The sequence below is a fragment of the Homo sapiens genome, chromosome 10, assembly GCF_000001405.40.
Source record: "Homo sapiens chromosome 10, GRCh38.p14 Primary Assembly".
In the NCBI taxonomy this organism is placed as follows: Eukaryota; Metazoa; Chordata; class Mammalia; order Primates; family Hominidae; genus Homo; species Homo sapiens.
Window position 1 is genome coordinate 68,540,071 of NC_000010.11, and position 24,672 is coordinate 68,564,742.

The following is a 24,672-nucleotide window of genomic DNA, read 5'->3' on the forward strand; positions in this document are numbered from 1 at the left end:
GAGGAAGAGGTTGTGGTGAGCCAAGATCATGCCCTTGTACTCCAGCCTGTGCAACAGGAGTGAAACTCCGTCTCAAAGAAAAAAAAAAAAAAGACATTAGCGAAATCTAACATGACATAGGTTTAGTTGCATTCTGCACCTGTGTCCACTAAAGTCAAGGTTCTCTATGTGTTTCTTGGCATCTAATAGATTGTGAGCTCCACATGGACCTATGCCCCCTACTGCTTGTGGGTGAAGGTGACCTTGGCCCCATCCCTGGTCTTCAGGCTGAAGAGGAGTCCACCTTTGGAATCTTTGAAATGTAAAGTTTAGGATTTTCTTTTCTTTCTTTTCTTTTGTTTTTTTTTTTTTTTTTTGAGGTGGAGTCTCACTCTGTCGCCCAGGCTGCAGTGCAGTGGCACAATCTTGGCTCACTGCAACCTCTGCCTCCCGGGTTCAAGCGATTCTCCTGGCTCAGCCTCCCAAGTAACTGAGACCACAGGCCCATGCCACCACGCCCGGCTAAATTTTGTATTTTTAGTAGAGACGGGGTTTTACTGTGTTAGCCAAGATGGTTTTTTTTTTTTTTTTTTTTTTTTTTTTTGAGACAGAGTCTCACTCTGTTGCCCAGGCTGGAGTGCAGTGGCATGACCTCGGCTCACCGCAGCCTCCACCTCCTAGGTTCAGGCAATTCTCCTGCCTCAGCCTCCCAAGTAGCTGGGACCACACGTGCATGCCACCACGCCGAGTTGATTTTTTTGTATGTATAGTAAAGCCAGGGTTTCATCGTGTTGGCCAGGGTGGTCTCGAGCTCCTAACCTCAGGTGATTTGCCCGCCTCGACCTCCCAAAGTGCTGGAATTACAGGCATGAACTACTGTGACCAACCGAGTTTAGGGTTTTTTACATGGAGTTTCTTTTGTTACTTTCCCCTTTCCTGGTGGGGCACTAGGGAGGGGCCTAACTTGTTGGTCAAGAGTCAGGTCTTCCCAAAGGCCCACCAATACTGCATTTGGCTGTGGATCTATTTTCTCTTTTTCTTTTTTCTTTTTTTGTCTTTTCTTTGTCTCACTCTGTGGCCTAGGCTGGAGTGCAGTGGCCTGATCTCGGCTCACTGCAATCTCTGCCGCCCAGTTTCAAGCTATTCTCCTGCCTCAGCCTCCCAAGTAGCTGGGATTACAGGTGCCTGCCACGGTGCCCAGCTAATTTTTGTATTTTTAGTACAGATGGGGTTTCACCATCTTGGCCAGGCTGGTTGAACTCCTGACCTCATGATCCACCTGCTTCGGCCTCCCAAAGTGATGGAATTACAGGCATGCGCCACTGTGCCCAGCCTATTTTCTCTTTTTCTATCTTGGGTGAAATCAGATCATACCACATTTGTTTCCTGGTAATCCTAATTAGGCTTTTTTGGCTTCCCTTTTTGGTCTAGCAGACTTGGTTTTTAAATTTAATTTAATTTTATTTAATTTTATTTTCTAGTAACCAATCTGACTTTCTCTCTTCCTTGTTCTGTCTCTCCAAGATTAGCTATGGTTTATCCCACATTATATATATCTTGTCCCATAAGAGGGCTCAAGAGGAATATGAGAAGGCCATGCTACTCTTGGGAAGCATTCTGTAACAATTTGCTTTTCATACCTGTGGTAAGCACAGTCTTTTCTGGTCCTTCAAATTGTCAGGGCCGGACCCAGTGGCTGACTGGGCAAGGTGGTTCATGCCTGTAATCCCAGCACTTTGGGAAGCAGAGGCAGGCGGATCACTTGAGGTCAGGAGTTTGGGACCAGCCTGGCCAACATGGTGAAACTCCATCTCCACTAAAAGTACAAAAATTAGCGGGGCATGGTGGTGGGCACCTGTAATCCCAGCTACTTGGGAGGCTGAGGCAGGAGAATTGCTTGAACCAGGGAGGCAGAGGCTGCAGTGAGATGAGATCGTGCCACTGCACTCCAGCCTGGGTGACAGAGTGAGACTCCGTCTCAAAAAAAAAAAAAAATTGTTGGACCTAATGCATGCCCCACTCTCTAAAAGTGCTCTGTGCTTCTTCCAAAGACTGCCATGGTGAGCTGTGTCCAGAGAAGTCTCTTTTATTTGGCCAAGCCTTTCTCGTGGTCATTATAATCCCAGTCCACAAGGCTACAGTTCCCCCAGACAGTTCTAGCATAATACAAACACTGTCTCAGAGTGAGATGAGTCGGTTATATTACTTATTTTTTTTCAGCTTCACTCTCTGCTGGAGAAATGTCATCCTCACCAGTGTCCCATAGCTGCACCATCCATGTGGCTGAGCTTTCTCTCAGCAGCTGTTCGGAAATTTTTGCTAGGTCTAATAATTCTTCTGAGGAATAATCTTGGATCGTCGAAGATTCCTGCAAAGGCTATTGCTTATGGCCAGGATGTACGTATAGGGCTTTTGCTTCCTGCTGCATACCCTCAAAAGGGGACGATAATTATCCTCCACCTCCCAGATAACCTCTGTGTCTTTATCTGGCTCACTAGTTGGTTCCCAATAATTCCAAATATTTGCATCCCAGTCTGGTTTGGCAAGGGCAGCCTGCATTAGCACAGTTTTCTCCCTCCCAACTGTACAAAGTGTCAAGCTAAGGTTTCCAACTGTGCCTCCTGAGTTTCAAGCTTATCTGCCAAACCAGACACTAACACAGATGTGGAAGTTTTTGTGTTTTTCTTTTTTGAGACGGAGTTTCACTCTTGTTGCCCAGGCTGGAGTGCAATGGCGCAATCTCGGCTCAATGCAACCTCTGCCTCCTGGGTTCAAGCGATTCTATTGCCTCAGCCTCCCGAGTAGCTGGGATTACAGCCTCACACCACCACGCCTGGCTAATTTTTTGTATTTTTAGTAGAGACGGGGTTTCACCAAGTTGGCCAGGCTGGTCTCAAACTCCTGACTTCAGGTGACCCACCTGCCTCGGCCTCCCAAAGTGCTGGGATTATAGTCAGGAGCCACTGGGCCTGGCGTGGAATTTCTTATATCCCTTTCTAATTGCAGTTCTTCTAACTTTCAGACATTTGCTGTAGCTGCTACCTGTACTTCTGTGGTTGCTGGCATAGACCATAATAGCGGCCAACTCACTGTCATAGCAGCTTACTGACCTTTCTCACCACAGTGAGTCATATGGCTTTTTACAAACAAGCACTCTAGACTCTGGGGTTTTGGAGGTGTTTCTGTACTCACGTGATGGTCCACAGGTATCTAGCAAATGGGCAGCACCACTTCATTTAGATGAGGAGGACTACCCCAGGATTTCCCCAAGGATGCTTCTTTCTTCATGCTCATGCTTTGGTTTCCTGGCTCCTGGCTGGATCACCACTTGTTTCATGTAAGGGCTGTATATGCAAAGCCACCCTCAAATGCAGAAAGAGCTGAGAAATTAAAGAAGGGAGCAGATAAATCCAGTTTGTCAGTATGGGATGACTTATTGGGGGAATTTACAGAGAGAAGCATGGTCTTGGGCAGCCACAGACAGGTAGAGCTCTTTACCTCAAATGCCCAGGTCCAAGGCTTAGACCTTGGAGAAAGGTAAATGTGCTCTGGAAGGAATGTGTAGGTGGCTATGGGTGTTAAACCTATGATGTACCAAGGGTTGCTTTGAAGGAAAGGTGAAACTTACAATGAATAGGTATCCTATATAAAGAGTAATACATCACCTAGACATTTTGGAGGCATTCCCAGACTCAGGGTTAGTCAGCGAATTAGCGTTTCAAATAAAGTTATTCTCATCCCCAAAATGACAAATGGTTTTTGAATACAGACAACACAAAATTACCATACAGACCATATATAACAATAACTACCTAAAAAGCCTTCTTTGAAAGCTTTCCCTCATTTGACATGTACCCCAATATATTATGAAATGGGGGAAATGGTGTACATTTTAATAAGCATTGTCTTGAATCTTAGCGATCTTTTTTGTTTGTTTTTGTTTGTTTTTGTTTTGTTTTGATTTTTTTATTTTTTTTATTATTTATAGTAAACTTTATTTTCATTGATATTTCACTTAACATAATTTCAAAGTCAGTCTGTGGTCTAAGATGAGCAAAAGAAAAGATATTCTAAATCTCTCAAGAGATTTTTTTCACACTGTTCCTCTGAGCAGGGAATGGGGTTTCAGGGTTCTCAATGTCAACACCTAACATTTTACCCTTGAGATTTACCTATAGATACAGAAAGAAGAGATAAAATCAATATACAAGAATCGATCTCTATGAGGGTCTCAATAAGCCCGTGTTACATGCTCGCCACCTCTGTAGGGTTATAATGGTAACAACTGATTTTCCACCCCTCCGCCAAATTTGGTCTTTTTTTTTTAGGTAAAATATCAGATGCAAAAATGCTGCACTTATTTCTCTTAATACATTGAAAATAGTGGAAGATGCAGATTTTTAATCCTTCATGAGTCCAAGCTGGAACATCTGATTCTGCTAATCAGATGTCATCAACATACGAACTCCAACTTTGGCAGCCATCAGCAAACTGGCACCTGCAATTAAACCTACAGGCATGAATTTTCCATAGTAGTAGGATCTCATTCCCATAATACCAACAAAAGTAACAGATGTAGCGGCTAGGAAATCCCAAACATTCCTTGGATCCTGATACAGCTGGTAAGCACCCACGCCGGCTAGACTGCCAAAGAGCAGCCCTGCAGCCAGGGACGGCGCCCTGCCTGTTTTTACATAGCCAACGATCCCACCAGAAACAACCAGTGCTGTGTAGCCAAAGCCAAACCAATGCAAAGGCACTAATGGGAAGAGGGGCTTCTCCATTCTTCTCTTCTCAGTCCAGAAAGGAGACTACCCCAGGCCTGCATCTCCTGAAGGCCCGTGGGGAGCACAATGGAGCGCAAGCCGCGGGACACAGCTGCCAGGTCTCTTGTTTTTATTTTTTATTATTATTATTATTTTTTGCAACAGAGTTTTGCTCTTGTTGCCCAGGCTTGGGCAACAAGTTTCACTCTTGTTGCCCAAGATGGAGTCTTGCTCTGGTGCCCAGGCTGGAGTGCAGTGACACAATCTCAGCTCATTGCAACCTCCGCCGCCCAGAATCAAGCGATTCTCCTGCGTCAGCCTCCTGAGTAGCTGGGATTACAGGCACCCACCAACATGCCTGGCTAATTTTTGTATTTTTAGTAGAGACTGGGTTTCGCCATGTTGACTGGGCTGGTCTCGAACTCCTGACCTCAGGTGATCCACCCGCCTCAGCCTCTCAAAGTGCTGGGATTACAGGCGTGAGCCACTGTACCCGGCCGGACCTTAGCTATCTTTGTCTTCTATTATGTAGTCTCTTTTAGACCACAGATCATTAATTTTTTTTTCTTTTTTTCCGAAACAGAGTCTTGCTCTGCTGCCCAGGCTGGAGTGCAGCGGCACAATCTCAACTCACTGCAATCTCCGTGTCCCGGGTTCAGGCAATTCTCCTGCCACAGCCTCATGAGTAGCTGGGATTACCGGTGTGCGACAGCATACCCAGCTAATTTTTTAATTTTTAGTACACATGGGGTTTCCCCATGTTGGCCAGGCTGGTCTCAAACTCCTGACCTCAAGTTATCCACCCGGCTTGGCCTCCCAAATTGCTGCGATTATAGGCGTGAGCCACCACACCCAGCCAATTTGTTTTCTTTAATATAAAACTTAGAGGCGGGTCCAGTGCCTTACGCCTGTAATCTTAGCACTTTGGGAGGCTGAGGTGGGCGGATCAGGAAGTCAGGAGTTCAAGTCCAGCCTGACCAACATGGTAAAACCCCATCTCGAAAAAAAAAATTTAAAAAATTAGCTGGGAGCAGTGGTGCATGCCTGTAGTCCCAGCTACTCAGGAGGCTGAGGCATGAGAATCGCTTGAACCCGGGAAACGGAGGTTGCGGTGAGCTGAGATTGCACCACTGCACTCCAGCCTGGGCAACAGAGTGAGACTCTGTCTTAAAAAATAAATAAAAATAAGCCGGCTGGGTGCGGTGGCTCACGCCTGTAATCCCAACACTTTGGAAGGCCGAGGCAGACGGATCACCTGAGGTCCGGAGTTCGAGACCAGCCTGGCTAACATGGCGAAACTTCGTTTCTACTGAAAATACAAAAAATTAGCCAGGCATGATGGCACGCGCCTGCAATCCCAGCTACTCAGGAGGCTGAGGCAGGAGAATCGCTTGAACCCGGGAGGTGGAGGTTGCAGTGAGCCGAGATTGCATCATTGCACTCCAGCTTGGGCAACAAGAGCGAAACTCTGCCTAAATAAATAAATAAATAAATAAAAATTAGAGACATTGTCTTTCCATGTCACCCAGGTTAGTCTAAAACTCCTGGGCTCAATCAATCCTCCTGTCTCAGCCATCCAAAGTGATGGAATTACAGGTGTGAGCCACCTTGCTCGGCTCATTATTAACTCTTATTTATTTATATTTATCAGAAATAAGCATCATATATTACAGATGCCTTATTCATTTAAAAAACTTTGGGAACAGCTGGGCACAGTGGCTCACACCTGTAATCCCAGCACTTTGGGAGGTCAAGGCGGGCGGATCACAAGGTCAAGAGTTCGAGACCACCCTGGCCAACATGGTGAAACCCCGTCTACTAAAGATATAAAAAATTAGCTGGGTGTAGTGCCGCCTGCCTGTAATCCTAGCTACTAGAGAGGCTGGGGCAAGAGAATTGCTTGAACCTAGGAAGCGGAGGTTGCAGTAAGTTGAATTTGCGCCATTGCACCTCAGCCTGGGCAACAGGGCAAGACTCCGTCTCAAAAATAAAAGGGAGTCTGCTGGGCACAGTGGCTCACGCCTGTAATCCCAGCACTTTCAGAGTCTGAGGTGGGTAGATCACCTGAGGTGAGGAGTTTGACACCACCCTGGCCTACATAGGGAAACCCCATCTCTAGTTAAAAAAAAAAAAAATTAGCCAGTCATGGTGACAGGTGCCTGTAATCCCAGCTACTCGGGAGGATGAGGCAGGAGAATCACTTGAACCCGGGAAGCAGAGGGTGCAGTGAGCCAAGATCCGCCATTCCACTCCTGCCTGGGCAACAAGAGGGAAACCCCATTTTAGCCTGGCATTGTGGCAGGCACCTGTAATCCCAGCTACTCAGGAGGCTGAGGCAGGAGAATCGCTTGAACCCGGGCAGCAGAGGTTACAGTGAGCCGAGATCGTGCCACTGCACTCCAACCTGGGCAACAGAGCAAGACTTTTTGTCTCAATAATAATAATAAAGAAACACGACATCTTCATTATCTTTTATAGTCACATAAAGTACAGGATTTTAGTACATCAGAAGAAATGACATGATAAATCTCAGAAACATACGCAAGAATTTGTCAGCCATGATGATCTCTGAGGAGGCGGATGAATGAAAGATGAGGAGCTGCACTTTCTTTTTGAGACGGAGTTTCGCTATGTTGCCCTGGCTTGAGTGTAGTGGTGCAATCTCAGCTCAATGCAACCTCCGCCTCCTGGGTTCAAATGATTCTTCTGCCTCAACCTCCTGAGTAGCTGGGACTATAGGCGTGCACCACCACACCTGGCTACTTTTTGTATTTTTAGTAGAGACGGGGTTTCATCATCTTGGCCAGGCTGGTCTGGAACTCCTGACCTCGTGATCCACCCGCCTCGGCCACCCAAAGTGCTGGGATTACAGGCGTGAGCCACCGTGCCCCGCCTACTTTTTTTTTTTTTTTTTGAGATGGAGTCTCACTGTGTCACCAAGCCTGGAGTGCAATGGCAGGATTTTGGCTCGCTGCAACCTCTGCCTCCCTGGTTTCAAGCAATTCTCCTGCTTCAGCCTCCCAAGTAGCTAGGACTACAGGTGTATGCCACCACACCCAGCTAATTTTTGCATTTTTAGTAGAGATGGGGTTTCACCATGTTGGCCAGGCTGGTCTCGAACCCCGACTTCAAGTGACCCACTTGCCTCGGCCTTCCAAATTGCTGGGATTACAGCTGTGAGCCACCGCACCCAGCCCCGACTCCTTTTTTGTTTTGTAGAGAGGACGTATCGCTGTATTGCCCAGGTGGGTTCAATCTCCTGGGCTCAAGCAATCCCCTGCCTTTAGCTTCCCAAAGTGCTGGGATTACAGGCATGAGCCACCGCACCCAGCCGAAAGCAGGGGCTTAAAAAAAGTTTCAGATTTATCTTTTCTTTTTGGCTTGAGTAATATGGTTATTATTATATTTTTTCATGAAAACTGCCCAGGCCAGGTGCAGTGCCTCATGCCTGTAATCGCAGCAGTTTGGGAGGCAGAGGCGGGCGGATCACGAGGTCAAGAGATCAAGACCATCCTAGCCAACATGGTGAAACCCCATCTCTACTAAAAATACAAAACAATTAGCTGGGTGTGGTGGTATGCGCCTGTAGTCCCAGCTACTCGGGAGGCTGAAGCAGGAGAATCGTTTGAATCCGGGAGGCAGAGATTGCAGTGAGCCGAGATCACACCACTGTACTCCAGCCTGGCGACGGAGCAAGACTCCATCTCAAAAAAAACAAAAACAAAAACAAAAAAAACACAGAAAACTGGCCAGGCATGGTGGCTTATGCGTGTAATCCCAACACCTTGGAGGCTAAGGTAGGGGCATCCCTTGAGGGCAGGTGTTCAAGACTGACCTAGGCAACATATTGAGATCCCACCTCTGCAAAAAAAAAAAAACTTGGGCATGGTGGCGTGTGCTTGTAGTCCCGGCTACTTGGGAGGCTGAGTAGGAGGGGATGGCTTGAGCCCATGAGTTCGAGACTGCTGTGAACTAAGGTTGCACCACTGCACTCCAGCTTGGTTGACAGAGCAAGACCCTGCCTCAAATAAAATAAAATGAAATGAAAAAGGGACATGTTTTGGTCAAGTCTTTTTCTACAGCCCACCAAATCTATACATTAAATATCCAACACCACAGATGGGCATGTTGACTCATGCCTTTAATCCCAGCACTTTGGGAGGCTGAGTCAGGAGGGTTGCTTGAGTCCAGGAGTTTGAGACCAATCTGAGCAACATAGTGAGATCCATGACCAGCCTGGCCAAGCTGGTGAAACCCTGTCTCTACTAAAAATACAAAAATTAGCTGGGCGTGATGGCACGTACCTGTATCCCCATTACTGGGGAGGCTGAGGCAGGAGGATCACTTGAACCTGGGAGGTGGAGGTTACAGTGAGCCAAGATATCGACAGTGAGCCGAGATATCGACATTGCACTCTAGCCTGGGCGACACAGTAAGACTCCATCTCAAAAAAAAAAAAAAAAAAAAAAAAAAGACAATCCCATGCAAGGTATGCAATTTGGTGAGTAACTGGAGTAGAATGTGTGAGCATTGCAATGAGAGAGATATAGGAATGTTGCAGAAGCAGCTCAGAGATCCATAAGGCTATGGAGCTCCTAATTCTGCCTCAGTAATTATAAAAGGTTTCACAGACTAGGAGCTCTGTGAGCTGGGTTTTGAGGAATAAGGACAAGTTTGCCAGGTTGATAAAAAGGAAAATTAGTCTGGGCGCCGTGGCTCATGCCTGTAGTGCTAGCAAATTTGGGAGGCTGAGGCTGGCAGATTGCCTGAGCTCAGGAGTTCGACCAGCCTGGGCAACATGGTGAAACCATGTCTGTACTAAAAATACAAAAAATAGGCTGGGCGCTGTGGCTCATGCTGTAATCCCAGCTCTTTGGGAAGCCGAGGTGGGTGGATCATGAGGTCAGGAGTTCAAGATCAGCCTGGCCAACATGGTGAAACCTCGTCTCAACTAAAAACACAAAAATTAGCTGGGTACAGTGGTACGTGCCTGTAATCCTAGCTACTCAGGAGGCTGAGGCAGGAGAATCCCGGGAGGCGGAGGTTTCCGTGAGCTGAGATCGCATCATTGCATTCCAGCCTGGGCGACAAAGCAAGACTCTGTCTCAAAAAAGAAGAAGAAGAAGGCTGGGCGTGGTGGCTCACGCCTGTAATCCCAGTGCTTTGGGAGGCCAAGGCAGGTGGATCAAGAGGTCAGGAGTTCGAAATTAGCCTGACCAACATGGTGAAACCCCATCTCTAATAAAAACACAAAAATTAGCCAGGCATGGTGGCGCATGCCTGTAATCCCAGCTACTCAGGAGGATGAGGCAGGAGAATCACTTGAACCTGGGAGGTGGAAGTTGCAGTGAGCCAAGATCGCACCACTGCACTCCAGTGTGGGCAACAGAGCGAGACTCTGTCTCAAAAAAAAAAAAAAAAAAAAAAAAGGAAAGAAAATTAGATAAGAGAAGAAGAGGCAGGAGGAAGAAGAACATTCTAGGCAGATCTGCATCTGTCCCTCTGTCCCAACATTTCCATCATCTCCATTCACAAAGCCTGAGAAAATGTTAGGAGAAACTCATGAGGTAACTAAGATAGCTTTTATTAAGATAACTAATTTTTTTTTTTAGACAGGGTCTTGCTCAGTCTCCCAGGCTGGAGTGCGGTACCACAATCTTAGCTCACTGCAACCTCCGCCTCCTGGGTTCAAGCGATTCTCCTGCCTCAGCCTACCAAGTAGCTGGGATTACAAGCTCCTGTCACCATACCCAGCTACTTTTGTATTTTTAGTAGAGACAGGGTTTCACCATGTTGGCCAAGCTGGTCTAGAACCCCTGTCCTTATGTGATCCATCCACTTTGACCTCCCAAAGTGCTGGAATTTCAGGTGTGAGCCATTGCTTGTCCACTCATTCAGTCATTTTTAGTGTCTGAATAGGCATGTATGGAGGTTACAACATACAACATAAATGAAGCGTCAGAGGGGAGGAAGTCTCAGCATCACTCAGGTGAAAATGAATGGAAAATAGAGCAGGAACGCAAAACATGGCTTCAGAGGTTAGTGGTAACACCAGAGCTACAAACCAGGGCTGGAAATTCAGCTTCAGAAGTCTTCTGAGACCAGGAGTCTTGAAGGGCTTGCAGTACCAGGAAGTCTCCAAAGGAGGGAGCAGGAAGAGAGAGAAGATGGTGAAGGCAATTTGGACATGTGGGTGGCCTATTAGCTGCCACAGAGATCCAGGGAGGAGGCATTTTTAAACAAAGGAGAATGAAGATGTGTAGTGACTATAGCCTTAGGAGAGTGCATCAGTGAACTCAGGAATAAATGGGCATTGTAGAAAAAAGAAGCAGCAAATAGAAATTCTTGGCCAGTCATAGTGGCTTCATGGCTGTAAATCCCAGCACTTTGGGAGTCTGAGGTGGAAGGATCACTTGGGGCTGGGAGTTCATAACCAGCCTGGGCAACAGAGCAAGATCCCATCTCTAAAAAAAAAAAAATTTCTTTGAGATAGAATCTGGCTCTGTCTCCCAGGCTAGAGTGCCATAGCGTGATCTCAGCTCATGGCAACCTCTGCCTCCCGGGTTCAGGCGATTCTCCTGCCTCAGCCTTCTGAGTAGCTGGGATTACAGGCATGTGCCACCATGCCTGGCTAATTTTTGTATTTTTAGTAGAGATGGGTTTTTGCCATATTGACTAGGATGGTCTTGAACCCCTGCCCTCAAGTGATCTGCCCACCTAGGCCCTCCAAAGTGCTGGGATTACAGGCATGAGCCACCATGCCCAGCCAAAACAATTTTTTTTTTTTAATTAGCCTTGCCTGGCTCGGCACAGTGGCTCACACCTGTAATCCCAGCTCTTTGGGAGGCCAAGGTGGGCAGAACACGAGGTCAGAAGTTCAAGACCAGCCTGGCCAATATGGTGAAACCCTATCTCTTTTTTTTTCTTTTTTTTGAGAATTATTCTCACTCTTTTTGCCCAGGCTGGAGTGTAGTGGTACAATCTTGGCTCACTACAACCTCCACCTCCTGGTTTCAAGTGATTCTCCTGCCTCAGCCTCCAGAGTAGCTGGTGGGTGGAGTGGGGGAGCTACAGGCACCCCCCACCATACCTGGCTAGTTTTTATATTTTTAGTAGAGACGGGGTTTCACCATGTTGGCCAGGCTGGTCTTGAACTCCTGATCTCGTGATCTGCCTGCTTCGGCCTCCCGAAGTGTTGGGATTACAGGTGTGAGCCACCTCGCCGTGCCGAAACCCTGTCTCTACTAAAAAGTACAAACATTAGGCTGGGCATTAGCCTTGCCTGTAGTCCTAGCTACTCGGGAAGCTGAGGCAGGGGGATCGCTTGAAACTGGGAGAGAGGCTGAGGCTGCAATAAGCTGTGATCATACCAGTGCACCCCAGCCTGGGCTACAAAAGAGACCCTGTGTCAAAAAGAGAGAAAGGAAGGGGAGGGGTGGGGAGATGAGGGGAAGGGAGAGCTTCTCAGGAAAGAAATAAGAAAGCAAGGCCAAGCAAAGGGGCCACCTGGTCATGGTAAACACAAAAGACCTATAAACAGCAGAGGAGAAGGAATTAATGAAGAGGAGACGGTGCTGATGCTAGAAAGACAGGGGCTCATTAATGGAGTAAGAGGTGCTTAGATAAGTAACATGGAAGCTATGGGCTCAAGGATACAAGCTAATGGGCAGGCACATAACATAGAGAAGAAACTTCAAGTAAGAAAAGAAATTGCACGCTGAGGAAAGGAAAGAAAGGTAAGAAATCTCTGTCGTCTGAGCCACCGTGCCTGGCCACACCCAGCTATTTTTTTGTATTTTTAGTAGAGATGGGGTTTCACTATGTTGGCCAGGCTGGTCTCCAACTCCTGACCTCATGATCCGCCCGCCTCGGCCTCCCAAAGTGCTGGGATTACAGGCCTGAGCCACCGTGCCCGGCCGAAACTATTGCTTTTTAGCAATTTTTATTTATTTAAAATTTATTTTATTTTTTAATAAAATAAAATAAGTATTTTAAAACCTATTGCTGGCTGGGCACAGTGGTTCACGCCTGTAATCCCAGCACTTTGGGAGGCAGAGGCAGGTGAATCACGAAGTCAGGGGTTTGAGACCAGCCTGTCCAAGATAGTGAAACCCCTTGTCTACTAAAAACTACAAAAAAAAAAAAAATTAGCCAGGTGTGGTGGCAGGTGCCTGTAATCCCAGCTACTCGGGAGGCTGAAGCAGGAGATCGCTTGAACCAGGGTGGCAGACGTTGCAGTGAGCCGAGATCACGCCACTGCACTCCATCCTGGGCAACAGAGTGAGACTCCATCTCAAAAAACAAAAAAAAAATTGTTTATTTCTTGAATTTTCCATGGAATCTTATCAGACCACTGACGACCTCTGATAAGGAGTGGACTACTATGATATGAAATACATTTAGTCTGAGTCCCCAGCTCCTGTCACACAGCTCCTAAAATCGTAGGAATTTCCTGAGTGCTAGGAATGTCTTAGTTATTCACAACAAATCCCTTCATCACGCCAGAGTTTATGCTAAAGAAGTGATTTAGGGTGGGGCCCCAAGGTAGCCTTAGGCTGGGGCTGCTCAACGGGTGATTAGTGGATTGGAAAGGCAGAGGGGGTGGGGGAGGGAGGGGTTCAGGAGATGATGCTCCATAGAAACTTTTGAACAAGGAGTTGCTGAACACTTCGAGTTGCTGGGAGGTCAGTGTGCACAGTCAAGGTACGGAAGCTTTGTGACACCTCCTTCCACAATCATGCCCTTTGCATATCTTCTTGGAGTGATCATTTGTGTCCTTCATAATACATTGGTTAACATAAGTAGAGCATTTCCCCTGAGTTCTGTGAGCCATCCTAGCAAATTATCACAGCCGAGGAGGGGGGTTGTGGGACCCCTGATTTATAGTCAGTCAGAAGCACAGGTCACTGTCTGGGACATGTAATTGGTGTCTCAAAATGGCGGCAGTCTTGTGGGACTAAGCCCCTATCTGTGGGCTTCAGATAGCATCAGAATTGAATTGAGTTAGAGGACACCCAGTTGGCATCTGCTGGAGAATTTTGGTGTGTGTGTGTGTGAAAACCCCCATAAATCTGATAAATATTCTGAGCTGCATTCAGTGCGAGTAGGGAGAAAAAACTTTTTTCCCTTAATTTGTGACCAATAAATGCCAATTCTTGAACACCTGCTCAGTGCAAGTTCTTTCCTCTGGTAGTTCTCTGGTCATTCCCTTGGGTCCTTTCTTTTTTCTTTTTCTTTTTTTTTTTTTTTGAGATGGAGTTTCACTCTGTTGCCCAGGCTGGAGTGCAATGGCGTGATCTCGACTCACTGCAACCTCCGCCTCCTGGATTCAAGCGATTCTCCTGCCTCAGCCTCTCGAATAGCTAGAATTATAGGCATCCACCACCACGCCTGAGTAATATTTTGTATTTTTAGTAGAGACGGGGTTTCACCATATTGGCCCAGCTGGTCTTGAACTCCTGACCTCAGGTGATCCACCCGCCTCGGCCTCTCAGAGTGCTGGGATTATAGGCATGAGCCGCCACGGTCGGCCTCTTTTTTTCTTTTTTAAGAATTATTTTAATTTATTTTATTTTTTTGGCAGACTCATGCTCTGTCACCCAGTCTGGAGCACACTGATGCAGTCATAGCTCACTGCAGCCTTCACCTCCTGGGCTCAAGCAATCCTCCTGCCTCAGCCGTCTGGGTAGCTGGGACTATAGGTGTAAGCCACAGTGCCCAGCCTCCTTGAGTTTTTTCTACTTGAAATTTTTCTTTCTCCTTTGAATTCCTCGCCCAACTGACAGCATTAGATCTTCACAAATGCTACTGCTGGCTTCTGCTGCTACAAGATGTATCTTGCCCAGCTTCCCCGCTATCCCCCAGGACCATGCAGAGTGTGCTGTCCCAGATCACCAAGGGACAACTGACTCTTTACTACCTGCTATTATATCAACTATCTATCTATTGAATTTACGTTTTATATTTATTTATTTACTTATTTTGAGATGGAGTTTCGCTCTGTCGCCCAGGCGGGAGTGCAATGGTGTGATCATGGCCCACTTCAACTTTCACCTCCCGGGTTCAAGCAATTCTCCTGCCTCAGCCTCCTGAGTACCTGGGATTACAGGCGCCTGCCACCACGCCCGGCTAATTTTTGTATTTTTGGTAGAGATGGGGTTTCACCTTGTTGGTCAGGCTGGTCTCAAACTCCTGACCTTGTGGCCAGGCGCTGTGGCTCACGCCTGTAATCCTGGCACTTTGGGAGGCTGAGGTGGGCGGATTGCCTGAGCTCCGGGGTTGAGACCAGCCTCGACAACATGGTGAAACCCCGTCTCTACTAAAATACAAAAAAAATTAGCTGGGCGTGGCGATGTGCTCCTGTAGTCCCAGCTACGCGTGAGGCTGACGCAGGAGAACTGCTTGAACCTGGGAGGCGGAGATTGCAGTGAGCTGATCACGCCACTGCACTCAAGCCTGGGCGACTGAGGGAGATTCCGTCTCAAAACAAAACAAACTCCTGACCTCATGATCCACCCGCCTCAGCCTCCTAAAGTGCTAGGATTACAGGCATGAGCCACCGCGCCCAGCCTATTTTATTTTTTATTTTATTATTTATTTACTGAGTTAGGGTCTTGCTATGTTGCTTAGGCTGGTCTCAAACTCCTCACACATCAGCATCCTAAGCAGCTGGTCCCACAGGCATGGGCCACCTAACCCAAATTAATTTATCTATCTATCTATCTATCTAATCAGACCCTGATCTCCATATAGGAAATAATGAGTTTGTCTTCCTTAGTTACTATATAATTTGTACTACCAGGATTGTATAAAATTCCTAACACTTAGTATTGCCAAATTTTAAAATTTTGTCCAATGGAGATTATATTCTTTCTTTTTTTTTTTTTTTTTTTTTGAGGCGGAGTCTTGCTCTGTCGCCCAGGCTGGAGTGCAGTGACGCGATCTCACCTCACTGCAAGCTCCGCCTCCCGGGTTCACGCCATTCTCCTGCCTCAGCCTCCCGAGCAGCTGGGACTACAAGCGCCCGCCACCATGCCCGGCTACTTTTTTTTTGTATTTTTAGTGGAGACGGGGTTTCACCGTGTTAGCCAGGATGGTCTCGATCTCCTGACATCGTGATCTGCCCACCTGGGCCTCCCAAAGTGCTGGGATTACAGGCGTGAGCCACCGTGCCCGGCCAACCTGGCTAATTTTTGTATTTTTAGTAGAGACAGGGTTTCACCTTCTTGGCCAGGCTTGTCTTGAACTCCTGACCTCATGATCCGCCTTGGCCTCCAAAAGTGCTGGGATTACAGGCGTGAGCCACCATGCCTGGCAGAGATTATATTCTTTAGGAAAGAATCTCTGTGTGTGTATGTGTGTTTGAGGAGGTTATTCTATATTATATATATAATTTCCACCTCTGCCAGGTCACTAACCAAGATAATTTGGTAAGCAGAGTAGCTAAGATGTTTTGGAGATAGAGCAATAGTAAAATGAGAAATAACTGTAGAGGGAACTTGAGTTAGGTTTGGATGAGTTAGATAAGTGCAGTTCCTATACCCTTATGACATAATTTTCATACCTCTTTTTAAAAGAGGTGACTGGAAAAAAGACATTCTTGCTGTTACTTGGGGAAGAAAATGGGGTAAGTTAGTTATAAGGATAGTGGAAAATTGCCTAAACATTTATTCTTTGTTATTGAGGTCTGGAAAGAATTGCACTTTATTTTCTTCTCCCTGAGTAGTCACCTCATGTTATTGTTTAATTTCCCATGACTTGTTAAACCTTTTAGACTTTATGGAAACATCTGGCCCCTTTCCTGACAGATGAACCCGATCAGGTTGCTGGGTGCCAAGATGGTTTTTAATATCATCTACATGCTGATGACTCTCAATTTGTTTCTTCAAGATAACTCTCCTTCCCAAACTCGAAATTGTCCCAGACTTGGCCAGTGGGAGAGACCTGTCCTTTTTTGATGGACATTTAGATGGTTTCCAGTTTTTCACCATTGTGAAACATAATGAAAATATTTTATTGACACAGACTCAATTCAGCCCTCAGAGCCTTTGCACTTGCTTTTTCCTAAGCCTGCAATCTTCTTCCAGCTTCCTCCCTTACTTTTTTCAGTCTACTCAATGTGGTCTTCCTTGATTGCTGAATTCAAAATTAAAATTCTGGTCAGGGGCAGTGGCTCATGCCTGTAATCACAACTACTTGGGAGGCTGAGATACAAGAATTGCTTGAACTTGGGAGGAAGGTTGCAGTGGGACAAGATTGCACTACTGCACTCCAGCCTGGGCGACTGAGTGAGACTCCCTCTCAAAAACAAACAGGCCAGGCGCGTTGGCTCTCTGGGAGGCCGAGGCAGGTGGATCACCTGAGGTCAGGAGTTTAAGACCAGCCTGACCAACAAGGTGAAACCCCATCTCTGCTAAAAAAACACAAATTAGCCACACGTGGTGGTGCATGCCTTTAGTCCCAGCTATTCAGGAGGCTAAAGCAGAATTGCTTGAACCTGGGAGGCGAAGGTTGCAGTGAGCCGAGATCGGGCCACTGCACTCCAGCCTGGGCGACGGAGCAAGATTCCATCTCAAAAAAAAAAAACCCAAAAAACAAAACACACACACACACACACACAATTATTTTAGAAGCACACATGCACTTAGAATCCTTTTAGAAGCACTCATTGGGTTTTTTGTTTGTTTGTTTGTTTGTTTTGAGACAGGGTCTTGATCTTTCCTCCAGGCTGACATGCAAGTCATACAATCTTGGCTCACTGCAACCGCCTCCCAGACTCAGGTGATTCTCCCATCTCAGCTTCCCGAGTAGCTGGGAAAACAGGCATGCACCACCATGCCTGGCTAATTTTTATATTTTTAGTAGAGATTTCACTATGTTGCCCAGGCTGGTCTCGATCTCCTGGGTTCAAGTGATCCTCCCCCCCTCTGCCTCCCTAAGTGATGAAATTACAGGCATGAGCCACTGAGCCCTGAGCCCTGTGTATTGTGTGTGTGTGTTTTTGAGATGGAGTCTTGCTCTGTCACCAGGCTGTAGGCTGGAGTGCAGTGGTGCCATCTCGGCTCACTGCAACCTCTGCCTCCCAGGTTCAAGCGATTCTCCTGCCTCAGCCTCCCGAATAGCTGAGACTGCAGGTGCGCGTCACCACTCCCAGCTAATTTTTGTATTTTTAGTAGAGACTGGGTTTCAACATGTTGGTCAGGATGGTCTTGATCTCTTGACATTGATCTGCCTGGCTTGGCCTCCCAAAGTGCTGGGATTACAGGTGTAAGCCACTGTGCCCGGCTATTTTTTTTTTTAATTGCAATCTTCCCCAGCATTTCCCATCCCCTTCCCTGCCTTTTCCCCCCACTTTATCCCGGTGCTATCACTATCTGATACACTATATATTCTGCTCATTTATTTTCTTTATTTTCTGTGCCCCGACTCTTACAACACGATGGAATGCAAGCTCTACAAGGACGGAGGTTTCCTTTTGCTCACTTTTGTTTCCCCAAGTTTGGAATTGTGTCTGGCACTAAGTAGGGACTCAAGGGGAATGAGTGTTACCATGGACATCATTCTATATAGTTGTATGATTTTCCTATTTCAATACATTTTAAAGTTAATCCAGTTAATTGACAAAAGCCAGGATATTTCTATTTTATGATAGTCCTTTTCCTTTTGTTCTTCATGAAAATTAGATTATGTTGGATTTTTCCTTTTCCTTTTTTTGGGGGCAGGGAGATGGGTCTTGCTGTGGTTGCCCAGGATGGCCTCAAACTCTTGGGCTCAAGTAATCCTCTTGCCTCAGTCTCCCGAGTAGCTGGGATGGTGCGCACTATTATGCCCACCTGAAAGTCAGGATTTTTTTTAAGACAGTATCTTGCCCTGTCACTCAGGCTGGAGTGCAGTGGCTTTACCAAAGCTCACTGCAACCTGAAACTCCTGGGCTCAAACAGTCCTCCTGCCCCAGCCTCTCAAAGTGTTAGGATTACAGGTGTGTGCCCAGCCTTGAAAATCAAGTTTTATAAGTCAAACTCTCCCTGCATTCCTTTCTTTTTATCTAGGTAGAATGTTTCTAACAAGATTTTAACAAGTAACCTTTTGAAGCATTGGCTCAGAAGGGTCAATTTTTGTCCATAAGATTTATTTCACGGAAGGCAGCTATGCTAACCCCTATACCATCAACGGGTCATATAAGATTTATTTCAGGCCTGGTGTGGTGGCTCACGCGTGTAATCCCAGCACTTTGGGAGGCCAAGGCAGGCAGATCACCTGAGGTCAGGAGTTCGAGGCCAGCCTGACCAACAAGGTGAAACCCCATCTCTTCCAAAATAATAATAATAATAATAATAACATAGCTGGGTGTGGTGGCGCACACCTGTAAGCCGAACTACTCAGGAGGCTGAGGCAGGAGAATCGCTTGAACCCAGGAGCAGAGGTTGCAGTAAGCCGATATCATGCCATTGCACTCCAGCCTGGGCAACAAGAGCGAAACTCCATCTCAAAAAAAAATTTATTTCAAATGCCACATTTCTGATTTTATTCAGCCAAGGTACTTTGATTGTGCCATTGAAAACACGAGTGCAGTCATCAGTTTGCTCTGCCAGCCTGGAATCTCTGTTCCTTCTGTGTAGGAGGCAAATTTTATTCATCCTTGTATGCCTACATTGTAGTGCAAGAATACATTTGTATGAATCAATCAGTGAGGAAGGTTAAAAGTTTAGGAATCTTTCCCAGAACAGCCCGGTTATACTTATGTGTATACGAATAAAATCTAAGTGCAGAATGGGGGTAGAATGGTGTGAAATGCAATGAGGGACTGAATCCTTTCTCTTCACTTGAAGTTTGACCTGGAAGGAATGAAGATTCCATGAACAGCATTTTCCTTACCACGGTGACCCCATTAAAATCCTGGATTCCCTTGTCTGTGTCATGACTGCTGGAAGAAGCAATAGCTATCAAACATTTAGAGAAAAATTCAGATGCCCTAGTCAGTCTTAATTCTGGCGTAATGCCACTGGTTATTCCTCCTAATTCGGAAAACTTAGCTCTTCCTGCCCTTTCATTTCTTCATTCATAAAGTGAATACGACCACCACTGAGGTCCAGGGCCAAATAACTAACAGAAATATTATGATGAACTTTGCAGACATCCAGCCCAGAGTCAGGGAACACAGCCCTCATCTGGTTTCTCTCTTTGGTGTTGAGGGCGGTTTTCCGTTGCTGGCGACCTAGACATTGCTCAATGGTGTCATCTCTGACCTGGCACCTTCTTCATACATTTATAAACATGCAATTTAGAGATCCTAAAAACTTTTTCTAGAGCTCCCCTGGGAAAAAAGTTAATGACAAAATCTTGACACCTCTCTACGTCTTCTTCGGAGACAGAGAAGTTGAGAGAGGTGGAGAACGAGGGGGAGGGGGAGGGGGTCGAGAGGGAGTCGAGGAGGGATTCCAGCTCCAGTTTGGGTAAATCCAGCTCGCGTTTTGTCTCTCGCTCAACTGTGCAGGGTCCAGCGAAGGCAGAGCCCCAGCTTCACTCCCTGAGGTCTGTCCTGGGGAGACACTGCTGCTCCGGGGGGCTGACCTGGCGGGGAGTGGCCGCGCAGTCTGCTCCGGCGCCGCTTTGTGCGCGCAGCCGCTGGCCCCTCTACTCCCGGGTCTGCCCCCCGGGACACCCCTCTGCCTCGCCCAAGTCATGCAGCCCTACCTGCCTCTCCACTGTGGACCTTTGGGAACCGACTCCTCACCTCGGGGGCTCGGGCCTTGACTGTGCTGGGAGCCGGTAGGCGTCCTCCGCGACCCGCCCGCGCCCCTCGCGCCCGCCGGGGCCCCGGGCTCCAAAGTTGTGGGGACCGGCGCGAGTTGGAAAGTTTGCCCGAGGGCTGGTGCAGGCTTGGAGCTGGGGGCCGTGCGCTGCCCTGGGAATGTGACCCGGCCAGCGGTGAGTTGGGGCCGGGGCAGAGGGCAGGGGTGCGGGGAGCGAGGACTCCGACGCCGAGGCCCGAGGGGGGTCCGGGAGGCGGCGCTCGGCGCGGGCTGGATGTGGCCGGGGCTCTGCGTCCTTGGCTCTCCCGCTGCCTCAGGGGTGGGCTCGTTCCCCGCCTCGACCCCCCACCCCGGGACGCTCGGGACGCTTTTGTTGCCGGAGATAAACAATGCCCCCGGCCGGAGGTATCGGCCACCCGCTCCGGAGGCCCCGCCACAGCGCCGGGTTGGGGGCAGCGGGGGCGCCTGGGGCTCTGACCCCGGGCTGCGGTGGAAGCGGGGCTGGGGGAGGGCAAGTGTGGCGTGGGGGAGATGGCTGAATATACCAGCGGTTGGTTCCCTGGCCCCTTTGGGGAGTTGGAGGTCGGGGCGCCTCGGGGTGAGGAGAGGCTAGAGTCTGTGCAAGTTGTGAGTGGGGAGTCCGGGCTGTCCCGTGCTCAAGCGTACCCCCTAAACAAGTTTTCTCCCTCCCCCCATATATATATGAGAGACAGGTTGGTAGGGAAACGCTTTGGCGCCTGTCTCCCCGAGAGTTTTGGGACGGCAGCTCCAGGGATGAAACGTTTGGAGTGGAGGCAGTGGTGCAGTCTTGCTAGGAGTTGGCTGGGAGTTGTAAGGATCAGGGAAGAAGGGAAGAGGGAGTAGAGTGTGTTCTGTCAAAATGGCATTTAAGAAACTCATTTATGAGCACCACTGGGTCGCTGGACGCGCTGGCCTTGCGATCCCATCAGTCCCCGTCTGGCGGGATCCCGGAGCGGGCCCCGAGGGTGGGAGGTGCGCGGAGCTGGGTGCTGGGGCTGGTCGTGCAGCACGTGAGGGGCCTGGTCCTCGCTCTCGGGCGAGGAGGCGGCCGCACAACCTACCGCCCCCAGAGAAAAAATGCTCTCCTCTCTCTCTGTGCTTCCCTCCCTCCCTCCCTCTCCCCCGCTCCGGTCCCCGCCTCTCTCGCCCCAGGCTCTTGAATATATATATATATATATTCTACAAGAAGTGGTCTGGAAGGGACTGGCCGACGCTGGTAATCTTTCCACGTGAACGAGAAACCCACGCTGGGCATTTCTGATCCACTAAAAACTAAAGTGTTTCCAAAAGAACACTTAAAGCTTCAGCCTCGGAGTCTTTCCCGCGCCCCCAACTCGTCCCTCTCCCAAATTAACCAACCTTTCTGCATACGTCTCTTAGGGTGCCTCTTCCCCTCCGTCCCGGTTCCACTCCTGGGCACTAAACGAGCTGCACAATATGTCCTAGTAATGACTGCTTTTTGAAGAAATGTTTGAAAAGTGCTGCAAGACCTTGGAGCGAGAACAGGATTAGGTACACAGCCCTGGGCCGGCGGGGTGAGCCGCGCGCGCCACTGGAAGAGCGGCGCTGTATAGCAGCAGCCCCAGGTCTCCCCTGGACCTGAGTGTGCTCGGCGTCCCCACCCCCAATATAAAGTAAAATAAAAGCAATGGTTTAATTAGGCCTCAGGATACGAAAAATATGGAAAAGGCGCTTCTTAACCAGTAAGGGCAACAGTTATTTGGAGCACACTAGGAATTTATGACTACAATTAAACCAGGGGCAGGGGTACACGTAGATAGGTACGGAAATAAGGAGATTGGTGTGAGTTAATAATCGAAAGACTTAGGTGAATCAAACCAAGAATCAAAAGACTTAGGTGGCTTTTGGTGTGTTTCCGATTTTATCGGTATTGATCATACGGGTCCCCCTTTTCCCCAATTAAGGGATTTTTAATTAGTTTGTCAGTCTTTAAAGCTAAGTTGTGGTTTCAATTAAATTTCAGAATCAAGATATACGGGAAATGGCAGACAGTGTCCTTTTCTCTTTGCAAAGATGAGGAGTCCAGGCTTACAACTCTGGGACTGCCACTTTCCATTTTAATAAGAGTTAACTATCGCTCTCCGGGCTGGTCTCCCAGAATAGATGGGTGGGAGGGTTGGGTCTCCACTGTCCCTGCCCTTTGTTTCTCTTCCTTCTCCCATCTGATTTGTCTCCCCTCCCCCACCTTCTGAGCGTCCGTATCTTCCCTGCACACTTGATTTCCCCTATCCCCTTGGTCTTTTAGTTTTCGGCCTTTTGATCCCAGTTGCCTTTTTATGTTCTAGCTTTATTACTATAGATGTCGAACCCCTTCCTCAGTTTTTACTATAAGTAATTTTTGCCCTTCCTCAGTTTTTTACTATACATTTCTTCCCCTTCTTTCGTTTTTGGCCTTTTTTGTTTTCTTTTTGGGCATTTTCTTCCTTCTCTTGCTTTTTCTTCTACTTCCTCCTGTTGTGTGTTATGTCTTTCTTGTCTTCGGAAGGACAGTTCTATGTCCATTCTAACGTCTCCCTTCCCTTTTCTTGGCCCTTTTCCCCCCTTTTTTCCCCCTTCCTCTCTGCAGGGCAGAGGGGTGTTTTACATATGGAAGGAGCCATTGACTAAATGTGCTGGCATTCTAGTGAGTTTCCCTGAACAGCTTTTACATGTGCCGAGGGCTCTCACACTTCCTGTGGTAGAAAACTATCTAGGAACAGCAAGCAGTTGCCTGCCTGCTCTTCCTTTCGAGGTAGAACTTAGTTGCTGGAGGAAACTGAGCCAGGTGCTGCCTTTTTTAAAAAATGTTTTAAATCTTGTTTTTCTCTGCCAAGTGCAAGAGCCTTTAAGTTCTGTAGAGCTGAATGGAGGGACTATGAAATCAGTCTCTTGCAACTAGCTCTATGTATGCAAATACCACGTTTTTGGCCACTGCTGGTAGTGGGAAGAATTGAAATATGACTTTAATTTAACATGCAGGCTGGATTGTTACATCAGTTAAGCATTTTTGCCCAGAGGATTTTGGGGGAATCCAGAAAAAGGACGGATATAGGTGGGAAGAGGATCTTGCTGACATGTTGCTGTCAATACTGGCTTTTTTGTTTGTTTTTTGAGACGGAGTCTCGCTCTGTCTCCCAGGCTAGAGTGCAGTGGCATGATCTTGGCTTACTACAACCTCTGCCTCCGGGGTTCAAGCAGTTCTCCTGCCTCAGCCTCCCAAGTAGCTGGGATTACAGGCGTGTGCCACCACACCTGGCTAATTTTTGTATTTTTAGTAGAGATGGGGTTTTACTATATTGGCCAGGCTGGTCTCAAACTCCTGACCTGAGGTGATCTGCCTGCCTCGGCCTCCCAGAATGCTTAGATTACAGGCAAGAACCACCGCACCAGCCAGTTCTTTGCAGAAAACCCTTACACTTTAAGAAGCCAGCTTTTCATTCTCTAAGCAAGGTAATTATTTTTAAAAGTTAGTTGGGTTATTATCTCCTAGCCTATAATTTTGGATTGCATACTCTGTAGTTCCCTTGTCATAAAGACATTTTAGGGGGAAAAATGTTCTATTGTTTTCTTTTTTTTTTTTTTCAGAGTCTCACTCTGTTGCCCAGGCTGGAGTGTAGTGGTGTGATCTCCGCTTACTGCAACCTTCATCTCCTGGGTTCAAGTGATTCTCCTTCCTCAGCTTCCCTAGTAGCTAGGATTACGGGCATGCGCTACCATGCCCGGCTAATTTTTGTATTTTTGGTAGAGATGGGGATTCACCATGTTGGCCAGGCTGGTTTCGAACTCCTGACCTCAAGTGATCCACCTGCCTCAGCTTCCCAAAGTGCTGGGATTATAGGTGTGAGCCACCACGCCTGGCCAAAAATTATTCTGTTGTTGTTTAGGGCGTCTTGGTGCTCTCTGGTGAAAAGATCTGTTGATTGAGTAATGTTTTACATCCCAGAAATGGTTTTTTGTTTTTCCCTTCCATGACAGTAAGAACTCACAGGATGGTGTCCATTAATTGCACATGATTCCCTTCTTGGCCAATGATAGATGCTTAATAACAGGGTCTCCAGTCTTATTTTCTTCTCATATCATGTTATCATGTAGCTATCTCTGCAGCACTTTCACTGACTCTTGAAGACATTCCAGGTTAGAATAAAAGTAACTTT

At 47.5% G+C, this 24,672-nt stretch overlaps 1 protein-coding gene and 1 pseudogene across 8 annotated transcripts in view, besides 2 other annotated features; one reads left to right on the top strand and one right to left on the bottom strand.

Annotated features, from left to right (window-relative positions):
• On the bottom strand, positions 3,956-4,870 carry TMEM14DP (transmembrane protein 14D, pseudogene; annotated as a pseudogene).
• Positions 11,298-11,867: an enhancer, noted in NCBI's record as "H3K27ac hESC enhancer chr10:70311125-70311694 (GRCh37/hg19 assembly coordinates)". NCBI's record gives its function as "activates a minimal SCP1, AML or CMV promoter by ChIP-STARR-seq in naive H9 embryonic stem cells {active_cell/tissue: H9 hESC(naive)}" and the evidence as "EXISTENCE:reporter gene assay evidence [ECO:0000049][PMID:30033119]".
• Positions 19,984-20,506: an enhancer, noted in NCBI's record as "H3K27ac hESC enhancer chr10:70319811-70320333 (GRCh37/hg19 assembly coordinates)". NCBI's record gives its function as "activates a minimal SCP1, AML or CMV promoter by ChIP-STARR-seq in naive H9 embryonic stem cells {active_cell/tissue: H9 hESC(naive)}" and the evidence as "EXISTENCE:reporter gene assay evidence [ECO:0000049][PMID:30033119]".
• TET1 (tet methylcytosine dioxygenase 1) overlaps positions 20,267-24,672 on the top strand; it is a 134,151-nt gene continuing 129,745 nt past the window's right edge. For all 8 annotated transcript variants that reach the window (XR_001747211.2, XR_001747212.2, XR_001747210.2 and 5 more), the window contains exon 1: positions 20,267-20,672. The gene's annotated coding sequence lies outside the window, so the exon portion shown is untranslated. The remainder of the gene's footprint in view (positions 20,673-24,672) is intronic.